Below are 13,257 nucleotides of genomic sequence, written 5' to 3'. Positions count from 1 at the left end.
AGCACTTTGGGATGCCAAGGCAGGTGGATCACTTGAGGTCAGGAGTTCGAGACCAGCCTAGCCAACATGGTGAAACCCCGCCATTACTAAAAAACACAAATATGAGCTGGGCGTGGTGGCGAGCTTGCCTATAGTCCCAGCTACTTGGGAGGCTGAGGCACAAGAATCGCTGGAGCCTGGGAGGCAGAGATTGCAGTGAGCCCAGATAGCACCACTGCACTCCAGCCTGGGCGACAGAGCAAGACTCCGTCTCAAAAAAATAAAAATAAATAAAAGTAAAATAAAAGAATGACAGGGAAAATAGTGGTTGTCTATGCACAGCAGGACTGGAGGTAGAGAGAAGAAGAAACTATTGCATTTCTTTATATTTGCATTTCTGTGCTGCCTGGGTTTTTTTAAACCGTGTGCCTAGTTTAACGCAACTTTTTAAAGTTAGTTTAGATCCCAACAATTCTCTAGAGTCAAAACACATCCTTTTATACTTGATATTTAAAGGATACATCTGGATTTCATATTTCAATGTGTTCGTTTAATATAGTACTTTCTTTTTTAAATGAAAGCCGTTACTGAATCAATGCTGCATATTCAAATGTCAGTTATCACATAATCAAGAATCACGCGACATAGTCCCTTTCTCAGCATAAAAAGGCACATTACTAGTTGGCAACCCTGTGTAATCAATCATTTCTGAAAGCCGAGAACTACGTCTCAGACATACTAAAGGCAACCAAGAAGAATACTGGCGCTTTATTTCTGCCATCACCGCCCATTTGCCTTAATAGAAACATTCATTCCTGGAAGCTTTCTTTTTATCACAGGTGTCAGGAAGTACTTTCAAATCCCGGACCAAACGGGCCAGCATCATTTAATAGTAGAAAGGGAAGAGGTGAAAAGTGTGAGTGTGCACACAGGCATGTGTGTTCCCTACAGATGAGAATATTTTATGTTGCTGGAAATTCTCACAATTCACTTAAAAATCATGACATAAAATGTTATTTTATATCCAGTGTTCCAAGATCAAAACAGGAAATCCTTAAAAACTTGAAAAACAAAAACTACCTGAAGATAATACTTATTTCATGTTGCTAAAAATAACTCTATTACCTATATGAACTACCTTGGACAGGAAGTAAACCCACAATCACAAACGTTTGTGGAGTGAAATGATCACAGTCTTCATAGCTACACACGCATCACACTTAAGAGTATCACGCAAAGTTAGCCAAGGACTACAAAGCATTGCCAGTACTCTAGCACTCACTTTCCTTTTACGGATGCAGGCCAAAAGACGCTACAGAAGTCTGTGTACATTTTGGATCCTATTAAAAGCTTTTAATGTGTCCAGGCATGGTAGCTCATGCCTGTAATCACAGCTACTAGGGAAGCTGAGGCAGGAGGATCACTTGAACCCAGGAGGTGGAGGTTGCAGTGAGCCGAGATTATACCACTGCACTCTAGCCTGCGCAACACAGTAAGACCCTGTTTCAAAAACAAACAAAAAAAAAACAAAAAAAAACCTTTTAATGTAACATTTTTAACTCGAACCATTTTTGTTTTGTCTTTAATAAAAGGACAATTAGGTGGGTTTTGGTTGTTCGTTTTTGTTTGTTTTTTTGAGACAGAGTCTCCGTGGCCCAGGCTGGAGTGCAGTGGCGCAATCTCGGCTCACTGCAAGCTCCACCTCCCGGGTTCACGCCATTCTCCTGCCTCGGCCTCCAGAGTAGCTGGGACTACGGGCGCCTGCCACCACGCCCGGCTAATTTTTTGTATTTTTAGTAGAGATGGGGTTTCACCATGTTAGCCAGGATGGTCTCGATCTCCTGACCTCGTGATCTGCCCACCTCGGCCTCCCAAAGTGCTGGGATTACAGGCGTGAGAAACCGTGCCCGGCCAATTAGACGGTTTTAAAGTTCAAAACTATTAATAAGATGCAAGACCTGTTTACTGGTTCTGCCTCCATTCATATGTAAAACAATGTATTAAGTAAAAAGGGGCCAGGTACTGTGACTCACGCCTGTAATCCCAGCACTCTGGGAGGCCAAGGTGGGCTGATTACCTGAGGTCAGGAGTTCGAGACCAGCCTGGCCAACATGGTGAAACCCCATCTCTACTAAAAATACAAAAATTAGACGGGCATGGTGGCACACACCTGTAATCCCAGCTACTAGGGAAGCTGAGGCAGGAGGATTGTGTGAACCCAGAAGGTAGAGGTTGCAGTGAGCTGAGGTTACACCACTACACTCCAGCCTGGACAACAGAGCAAGACCCTGTTTCCAAAAAAAAAAAAAAAAAACTTTTAATGTACCATTTTTAACTCAAACCATTTTTGTGTTGTTGTCTTTAATAAAAGGGCAATTAGATGGTTTTAAATGTTCAAAACTATTAATATGATGCAAGACCTGTTTACTGGTTCTGCCTCCATTCATACGTAAAACAATGTATTAAGAAAAAAGGGGCCAGGCACCGTGGCTCACGCCTGTAATCCCAGAGCTTTGGGAGGCTGAATCGGGCTGATCACTTGACCCCATGAGTTTGAGACCAGCCTGGGCAACATGGTGAAACCCCGCCTCTACAAAAAAAAAAAAAAAAAAAAAAAAAACAGGAATTAGCTGGGGATGGTGGTGCACTATTCTGGAACCAGCTACTCAGGAGGCTGAAAGTGGGAGAATCACTTGAGCCTGGGCATTCGAGGCTGCAGTGAGCTGTGATCAACGCCACTGCACTCCAGCCTGGGCAACAGAGCAAAATCCTGTCTCCAGAAAAAAAAGAAAAGAAAGAGAAAAGAAAAAAAAAAAGGACACTAAATCAGAAGAGTATCTTTCAGTAGAACACTAGTTTGGCATCAGCATACAATCAGAGTTCATAACCCAGCACTTAAAAAGTAGCCATAACTGTGAACAACTTCACGAGTTTCCTCTCTAAACTCACAGATGTTGATCTCAAAAAATGACATATTAGAACACAGATCTGCAACTGAGCTATCAACACAGAAGTAATGATGACTGCAAAGCAATCCACAGAACAGGAAAAGTTCTAAACACTGAAGGACTGTCCAAACACCTTTGGTATACCAAGCCAAAAACAGGCCAACATGAGCAGAGCAAACAGAACACACACTACAGAAACACCGCACACAAAACGTCAAGTCCAAATAATGTAACCTAACCATGGAATGCTGTAAAATATTAGCAAGTAGCAGATTACCCTGGGCCACAGCAATCAGCTTCATACAGGCATATTTATTTCGCTGACCTGAAAAAAGGCAGGGCTGAAAACATTAATATTCCCAGGCATCAAACATAATTCAAAAGCTCCAGTAATAACCCCCAAACATATCCAGCAGAAAGAAACCCGTTACCATTTGTGTCTTGGAAAGGACAGCTACTTCCCATACTAGTCAGTCCCTCTGTACCTCAACTTCTTTCATTATTAACAATGGCTCTGACCTCCTCTAGGAACTGGTGAAAATTAAGTAAAATTTTTCTGAAATTGTCAAATTAAGGTATTATTTGTTGGCTGGACACAGTGGCTCACGCCTGTAATCCCAGCACTTTGGGAGGCCAAGGCAGGAGGCAAGGTCAGGAATTTGAGACCAGCCTGGCCAATATGGTGAAACCCTGTCTCTACTTAAAAAAAAAAAAAAAAAAATTAGCCAGGCACAGTGGTGTGCACCTGTAATCCCAGCTACTTGGGAGGCTGAGGCAGGAGAATTACTTGAACCTGGGAGGCAGAGGTTGCAGTCAGCCGAGATCACGCCACTGCACTCCAGGCTGGGTGACAGAGCAAGACTCCATCTCAAAATAAAATTTAAAAAAATACTATTTGTTTAGGGCTGGGCGTGGTGGCTCACGCCTGTAATCCCAGCACTTTGGGAAGCCAAGGTGGACAGATCACCTGAGGTTAGGAGTTCGAGACTAGCCTGGCCAACATGGTGAAACCCGTCTCTACTAAAAATACAAAAATTAGCTGGGAATGTTGGCGGGCGCCTATAATTCCAGCTACTTGAGAGGTTGAGGCAGGAGAATCACTTGAACTCAGGAGGCAGAGGATGCAGTGAGCCAAGACCACGCCATTACACTCCAGCCTAGGCAACAAGAGCGAAAACTCCATCTCCAAAAAAAAAAAGATATTATTTGTTTTTAAAAAAGCTATTTGTATTAATTTCTTATTGCTGCTCAAACAATGATTACAACCTTAGTGACTTAAAACAACACAAACTTTCTGTCTTAGAATTCAGGAGGTCAGAAGTTCAGCAAGGCTCTCACTGAGCTAAAATCAAGGTGTTGGGAAGGCTGTGCTCCTTCATGAGGCTCTAGAAAAGCCTTGCCTTTTCTCCTAGAGGCTGCTGGCATTCCTTGCCTCAGGGCCCTGCAACTCTCTCAAGCCTCCGCTTCTCTTCTCATGGTCCCATCTATAATCTTCACTCTCCTGTCTCCCGCTGTGATTTACAAGGACGCTTGTGATTACACCACCCACCCAGATAACCCTGCCATTTAAGCAACCTTTAATCACTTCTGTAAAATCTCTTTTGCCACGTAAGGTGGCATACTCACAAATCCTGGGGACTGGGACGCACGCATGGGGAGGTGGGGTGTGGACATTATCTTGCCTGCCACTCTATTTATATTGGTCATGCAAATCACCCAAAAAGCCCAAAGAGGGGGTAGAGGGAGATGAACCTATAAGGAAGTCAATGGGCAAGTTAAAAATGTAAATTTGGACATTATAACTTATTTCATCAATACTGTTTTTATTTTTTTGTTTTTATTTATTTATTTATTTTGAGACAGAGTTTCACTTTGTTGCCCGGGCTGGAGTGCGGTGGCATGATCTCAGCTCACTGCAACCTCCGCCTCCCAGGTCCAAGAGATTCTTCTGCCTCAGCCTCCCAAGTAGCTGGGATTACAGATGCCCGCCACCACACCCAGCTAATTTTTGTATTTTCAGTAGAGACGAGGTTTCACCATGTTGGCCAGGCTGGTCTTGAACTCCTGACCTCAAGTGATCCGACCGCCCCGCTCTCCCAAAGTGCTGGGATTACAGGCATGAGCCACCGCGACCAGCAGATGGTGTGTTTTTAAAAACACCAAATGTTTTGTGCCTTCAGGTAAGTCATCAATAAAATATCCTTGTGAAAGAAATAATTTTTAAAGCTAAGGAGTAATGAACTAGAGAATAGAAGCCTCTTCTATTTTTTTCTTCACAATCGTTTGTATGCCCTGAGTTTTCTCTCAAGTTAAAAAGTCACCCCAAAGATGTCTTAAATGGGCAAAATCACCAGTGTCCAATGCAAGGATTTCCTTTTCCGTTTTGACATGGTAATTTTCTTGGTAATATAAATCACTTTAAAATCATTCCAGTTCAAAGGAATATAATCTCTCAAAAACTAAATGACTTTTCCTTCACAGAAGTTAATTTAATTTTGTTTGGATTATTGTACAACCTCCCTTTCATTACACCAGGCACATATTTCAACAGTAGAAACTTTTTTTAAAAAAATCATTATAGAAGATTACATTTTGCAACGGTTTTGTTTCTCCAGAGAAAAAAGTAATACTAATTTAATAATTTACTTGAGAAAAACCTCTGACAAATTGTAAATGTCCATCTATATACGTAATTCTTAATATCAATACCAAAACAAATTGAAAAGAATATTTTAAAATGTAATACGCCTACACTTTGCTATTTTTTTTTTTAAACAAGGTGTGTAAGTAAAACCAAATGGACAAATACCTTCTGACATATTTAATACCATGCAAGTTTTAAGACATGGTCTTGCTCTGTCACCCAGGCTGCAATGCAGTGACACAATCATGGCCCGCTGCAGCCTGGGCGCAAGTGTTCCTCCCATCCCAGCCTCCTGCATAGGTGGGGACCACATGGGAACACCACCATGTCCTGCTAATTTTTTTTATTTTTTATAGAGACGAGGTCTCGCCAAGTTGCCCAGGTTGGTTTTAGAGTCCTAGGCTGAAACGATCCTCCCCTCTTCTCAACCTCCCACAGTGCTGGGATTACAGGACTGAGCCACCATATCCAGACCCATCCAGAAACTGTGGAAATATTTAGATATTTCTAGAGTTACACTTGGCACTCTAGAGTGGACAGACACCATATGACACGTTATACGGATTTCTGGCAAGAGGCCCAAATACAATTAGAATCCAAATGGATTTGCCTCAAACATTGATTCTCAACACAATTAAGTTATGAGAAAAGGGAAAATAATAGATTAAATATAACAATATTTTTGCAGACAACTAATATAAGAAAACGTTACCAATACATGTTCTATGTTTTAAAAATCATGTAAGACCAGGCACAGTGGCTCACACCTGTAATCCCAGCACTTTGGGAGACCGAGGCGGGCGGGCTGCTTGAACCCAGGAGTTTGAGACCAGCCTGGGCAACAAGGGGAAACCTCATCTCTACAAAAAATGCAAAATTAGCCAGGCGTGGTGGTGCACGTCTGTAGTCCCATCTACCTGGGTGGCTGAGGTAGGAGAATTGCTTGAGCCCAGGAGGCAGAGATTGAAGTGAGCCAAGATCACACACCACTGCACTCTAGCCTGGGAGACAGTGAGACCACCTTGCCTCAAAAAAGTTAATTAGTTAATTAATTAAAAAATAAAACAATAAAAATCATCTAAGTCTTTACAGACATGTCAAAATTCTGAAAGTGGGACAAATTTTGCTCAGAAACCATCAGAATTATAATCCTCATGATGCCACTTCATCCTGCTACTTGATAAAGAAGAGATTCTGGTTCAGTCCGTAAGTCATTGATTTTCAACAGGGAACACCACTGCATGTGCACTTCACGTCACCCCAAAACTTCAGAGCACCGGGAGGCATTACTGATTCACATATTCCCTATAGTGAAAGCTGTTCATACCACTGCTATTGGGCAACTGAGTATTTCAGCATAAAAATTCCAGTTTCAGGCCAGGTGGTGGCTCACAACTGCAGTCCCAGTACTTGAGTCCAGGAGTCTGAAACCAGCCTGGGCAACACAGAGAGACCCCATCTCTACAAATCATTTTTAAAATTGGCGGGGCATGGTGGTATACACCTGTACGCCCAGCTACTAGGGAAGCTGAGGTGGGAGGACTGCTTAAGCCCAGGAGGTCAAGGCTGCAGTGAGCTGTGATCGCACCACTGCACTCCAGCATGGGCAACAGAGCAAGATCCTGTCTCAAAAAAAAAAAAAAAATGTGTGTGTGTGTGTGTGTGTGTGTGTATACGTGAATATATATACATATATGTGTGTGTAAACATATATATATACATATGTGTGTAAACATATATATATACATATATATGTGTATACATAGTTTCAATGTGAACTTGTTACTTAAGTTTGATTTTTTTCCCCCTATACCTTCAACAGCCCCAACCAAATCTCAGCTCCTAAACTTAAGAAAGATGCAGCTATTGTTTAGGAAGTAAGATAAACGCCAACTAGGAAGCAGCAGGTCCAATGACAACTGAATAAAATATTTCAAGTAAAAATCTCATTTGATAGTTATAGCAAACACATAGAATGATTTTTTTGAAAAAACAAATATTGCCATGAGTGAAAGTAGGGAGGTAGAGAAATTAAACATAAACCTGACTTTAGACTTTTCATGTCCATAGACTGCCTGGTGATAAACTGAAGCCTCTATACCCTTTCCTGTAAGACCCTTTCATACCCACTACTTACCTCAGTCTTCCTGACAACCAGTGAGAAGTAAAACTGGCTCTCCTGGGTTGAGCCCCAACTATTGAAAAACATAGAGAGCTAGGAAGCAGGCAAAGAATCTAGAAATTCATAGGAGGAGTAGGATAAAGGTTTGCCCAGACCCTAGTTCCCAAAAATATTCATTCGTTCATTGATATAAAAATACCTGAGTGCCTAGTATGTATGTAGCAGGCACTGTTGTACATACTAAGATACAGCTTTGAACAAAACATAAAATTACTGGCCCTCAGGAAGCTTAAATTCTAGAGTAGAGAGAGACAAATAATAAACAAGATGATGAAGCATATTAGAAGTGTTATGAAGAAAATTAATGCTGTGGGGAGGGATAATGGACAGGGATGAAATTTTAGATACGGCAGTCATGGAGGACCTCATTGAGAAGGCAATACATGAGAAAAGAAGCGAAGGTGGAGAGCAATCCAGGCAGAGCAAACAGCAAGTAAAAGGCTTGAGGCTTATTTATAGGAAAAAAAAAAAAGGTGGCAAGAGTGGCTGGAATGAAATGGAAAAGGTGGAAAACAGATTAGTTCAGAGATAAACTATATTTGGCCCTTGAACAACATGGAGATTAGGGGGACCAATCTCCCACACAGTAGAAAATCCATGTATAACTTTTAACTCCCCCCAAAATACTGATAGCCTACTGTTGACCGGAAGCCTTACTAATAGCATAAACAGTCGAACACATATTTGTATATGTATTATACACTGTATTCTTGTAATACATTAGAGAAAAGAAAATGTTATTAAGAAAATCATAAGGAAGAGAAAATACATTTACCAACTCATTAAGTCAAAGTGGCTCATCATAAAGGTCTTCATCATCATCATCTTCACCTTGAGTAGGCTGAGGAGGGGGAGGAGGAAGAAGAGGCATTATTCTTGCTGTCTCAGGGGTGGCAGAGCTGGTAGAAAACTCACGTATAAGTGGACGCGCACAGTTCAGACCTGTGTTATTCAAGGGTCAAAAGTATATGGAGGGAAGCTGAAGTGTGCAATACAGAGCATGTAGATGGCCTTGTAGAGTTTTTGAGGGACTCTGGCTTTTAATCCAAGTAAAACAGGTGATCACTAGAGGGTTCTGAGAAGAATTAGCTCCTCTGATGACAGCAGATTGTACGGAGGGCAAAGGCAAGGGTAGATCATGGTTTGGACAAGAATAGTGAGAAGTGGTCAGAGTACAGATATATTTTGAAGGTAGAGCCAAAGAATCTTCTCAGAAATAGAAGTGGGGCATAAGAGAAAGAAGAATCAAGGAGGGCCAAGGCTTTTGGCACAAGCAATGGAATGAGAAATTTGCCATCAACCAAGATGAGAGCCTGGGAAAAAATAGATTTGAAGGAGAGATCAGTTCTGTTTTAGCATTACTGAGCTTGAAATGAGCTTGAGTTTTTAAACACTCCAGGAAAGATGCTGAATAGGCAGCTGGATATATGAGTCTAGGATTCAGGAATACACATTACAGCACAGATTTAATATGGTGTTCTTATCTAACCCTGTGTCTTTTTAAGGACGTATCTATGTACACAAATTGAAGTGCAATTTCATAAGGCAACTGATTCAATACAATAGCAGAACAAAAGCAGGGCATTAGGTAGTGCTGCTCTATTCTCTAGATACATTATTGTCTACCCAGTGAGAAAAGCAGTCTATGGTGAGTGCTCACATGACCGCCCTAAAAACCTGATGTACCTAAAAACATCTAGTACCAACTGCAGACATTCCAGAGACAACTGTACATTTACATTCACACCTCTACCTTTACCACCCTGGTTCTCAACCTCAGGCTCTACTACTGATATCAGGTTTTGGCACAGCTGTCCCCAACATCCTCTCACCACATAAGATAATATGACTTATGTGAAACTTAACACCCAACAGCTATGTCAATATGTTTGCTCGATACTGCTGATGTGTTAGTTGACATCTGCCCTCTCAACAACTGAATCTTCCTCATTCCTAGTTTATCAGCTACAAAGCTGACCTGAGGTTGCAATTTTTTTCCAACTTTAAATGGAAAAGTCTCACATTTTATACTCAGTGTATATACTACTTTAGAGATGTATTTTTTAAAAAACACTTAACATCAATAACCCAAAATACACTGTATCTAATGAAATCTGGGGAACATAAGGCAGGCAGAAAAGGGACGTAAAGATTAATTTTGAGTACATGTGAACTTCTGTTAGTCTTACTGCTCAAGCCTTTTTTTAAATTAACCCAACACAATGTAAACAAGTTTAAAAAAAGTATTTAACATATTTCAGTTATGTTTACACATCAGAATATGGCTATCCCATAGAAACAGGCCTATAATTATAACCTTACGTATAACAGTTCAGAATGACATTGTAGAGTTAATAGTAAAAATTATTTGCCAATAGGAAAGACATAGTCCACATTACCAAGAACCAAATACAATCAACCCTTGCCCCTAAGAATCTAGAAACTTTGCAGGTAGAAACAGCAACTTAATGACAAATCATTTTATAAATAAAACAACGTCAAATCCAATACTGGTCCTATTGGTAGAAGTTTTTGTTCCACTTTTCTTTTCTTTTTTTTTTTTTTTTTGAGACAGGGTTTTGCTCTTGTTGCCCAGGCTGCAGTGCAATGGTGCAGTCTTGGCTCACTGCAACCTCCACCTCCCAGGTTCAAGCGATTCTCCTGCCTCAGCCTCCCAGGTAGCTGGGACTACAGGCATGTGCCACCATGCCCGGCTAATTTTGTATTTTTAGTAGAGACGGGGTTTCTTCATGTTGGTCAGGCTGGTCTCGAACTCCCGACCTCAGGTGACCCGCCCAACTCAATCTCCCAAAGTGCTGGGATTAACAGACCTGAGCCACTGTGCCTGGCCTTGTTCCACTTTTAAATTGAACTCAGTGATTAAAATGCAAAGAGATGGGCCGGACCCAGTGGCTTACCCCTGTAATCCTGGCACTCTGGGAGGCTGAGGTGGGTGGATCACTTGAGCACAGGAATAAGATGCCAGCCTGGGTAACAAGGTAAAACCCCGTCTCTCCAAAAAAAATACAAAAATTTGCCAGGCGTGGTGGTATGCGCCTGTAGTCCCAGCTACCCAGGAGGCTGAGGTGGGCGGATGGCTTGAGCTTAGGAAGTCAAGGCTGCAGTGAGCCATGATTGCAGCACTGCACTCCAGCCTCGCGACCCTGTCTCAAAAAAATAAATAAAATGCAAAGAGGTACAAGGATGGCTAGTCGTCTAGTCAAAAGTAGTAAGGATATGTAGAAAAAGGCAGGACCAAGAAGAAATAATGTCATAAAGACAAACATGTTGATTCATCTAACTTGTGTGTTTCAAGGAAAGAAAATATTTCAAATCAGGTGTTCTTATCCTGAGATCCACTGACTTGAAGCAACCGGGGGTTGAAATGAAGCCCTGATTCCTAAAGGATTCTATGACCTTTAGTGAGGTTTAGTGACCTTCACTGTGAGGTTAAGAACCGTCACAATGAAGTCTAGTTCATTTTCATCTATAAACCTACATGTACTATAACACCACCTTGTAGTCCAAGTATTCATAGTACACTACTCCCTGAAAAAAAAAAAAAAAAAAAAAAAAATGATTTTAAGACTGTTCCAAAGGCATACAAGCAATTAAAAGACAATCACACCCAACATAAAAGCTCACAGATATGTAAAGATTCCATTTATATGAATATCCAGAATAGGTAAATCCACAGACACCAAAAGCAGACTGGCAGTTATCAAGGGTTAGCGGGTAGGGGTAGGGGGCAGTAACTGCTTAATGGGTACATAGTTTCCTTTTGGGATGATGAAAATGTTCTGGAACAACACAGAGGTAGTGGTTACACAATGTGAATGCACTAAATGCCAAATGAGTTGTTCACTTGCAAAACGGTGAATTTTTATGTTAAATCAATTTGATCTCTAAGGAAACTAATAACAAAACCCTTTTGTATCTCCTGTTTAAATTTTTTTAACTGACAATCATACTGTATGTTGCCCCTCAATTTGGAGCAGAAAAATCAGAGGAATAAAATGGGACAACACAGACAGAAGATAGCCCGGTATGTTTTCATCCCCTCATCCTCAGGATGGGAGGAAACTAGAACTAAGACTTGCTAAGTGCCTACTAAGTCTGGAGGTCAGAAGGATTCATCTGCTGGGATATTCTTTTTTGCCAGAACAAAGCTAAAATTGAAAACTCAGGATTTCAGCTGGGCACAGCAAATTATGCCTATAATCCCAACACTTTAGGAGGCTGAGGTGGGAGAATCGCTTGAGCCCAGGAGTTCAAGACCATCCTGGGCAACATAGGTAGACCCCCATCTTTACAAATAATAATTTAAAACAATAGCAGGGCATAGTGGTACATGCTAATGGGGAGTCCCAGCTACTGGGGAGGCTGAGATGGCAGGTCACTTGAACCCAGGAGGTTGAGGCTGCAGTGAGCCATGATTGCATCACTGCCCTCTAGCCTGGGTGACAGAGTGAGATCCCATCTTGGGGCGGGGGGGGGGGGGGAATGATATATATAATTTAATTTTAAAACTCACGATTTCTTGGAAATCAATTCCTAGGACTCACAGGTTCATACACCTAAACTTTCCATATTCTTGGGCTGTACCCAGAGGGATAAATAAAAGAAATTGGTACTGAGGGAAAACATACAGCTAAGGTATAGTTAAAGCTTAGCTATTGTTCCACACAAAGTTTAAACTTAGTAATCATTCAAAATTTCCCTCATAAGACCAAATGTCAAAGCAAGCAGCCCATCCAAATAATTTAATAAAAATCAAACATCTAATCTACTCAAAAAAAAAATACTGAAGACTCAAGTCACTGCTTTTGTGAATTACATCACAATTAACTCACAAGGTCAAGAACTGAAGAAAAACTCTGCTCTCCTATGTCTCTGTCCTTTAACAGCATTTCCTGAGGAAAATGTCACAATACATATGAACCATAACTTGAAGTATGGAATCAGCTGGCTACATGTAATCAGTTCCATAAAGTTTGCAAACATTTACTACATGACATTCATGTTAAATTAACACCAGTATTTTCAAGGTCAATATGTTTGTTCAACTTCTTGGAGTCACACATTTTTGTGGTATTTTTAACATCTGACTAAAGCTTCTATCATCACAAGATGCTCACACTGTTTACAAATACTTGGAAACAGCAGCTGGTGTTCCTCAGTTACATCTTGTTACAATAAACAGAGTAGCAGTTTTAAAGTCCAGGTATATATTTTACTGCTGATGTGTAAAAACTTTGCTTTAACTTAAACGTTTCCACTGCCCCCAGTAATGGAGAGACATGAACACAATTAATTGTGGGCAATTTAGTACAAAGTTACGACAAGATCACAAATACACAAATTTTTATGTATGCATACTTGAAAGTACAGCTATCGTGCTGAATGAATCAAATGCTAGTGACTTTGCGCATATATATATACACACACACACACACACTCACATTTTTGCATGTGCGTGGAGACACAGTCTCACTATGTTACCC

General features: G+C 40.9%; 1 protein-coding gene across 6 annotated transcripts in view; it reads right to left on the bottom strand.

Moving 5' to 3' along the window:
* Positions 1-13,257, bottom strand: part of ZRANB1 (zinc finger RANBP2-type containing 1) — a 71,296-nt gene that overhangs the window by 31,450 nt on the left and 26,589 nt on the right. The gene's annotated exons all lie outside the window — the stretch shown is intronic.

Source organism: Homo sapiens, chromosome 10 (genome assembly GCF_000001405.40).
Source record: "Homo sapiens chromosome 10, GRCh38.p14 Primary Assembly".
NCBI classification, from domain to species: Eukaryota; Metazoa; Chordata; class Mammalia; order Primates; family Hominidae; genus Homo; species Homo sapiens.
Note: the sequence above shows the minus strand (reverse complement) of the source record. Positions and strands in the feature narration are given on the sequence as shown.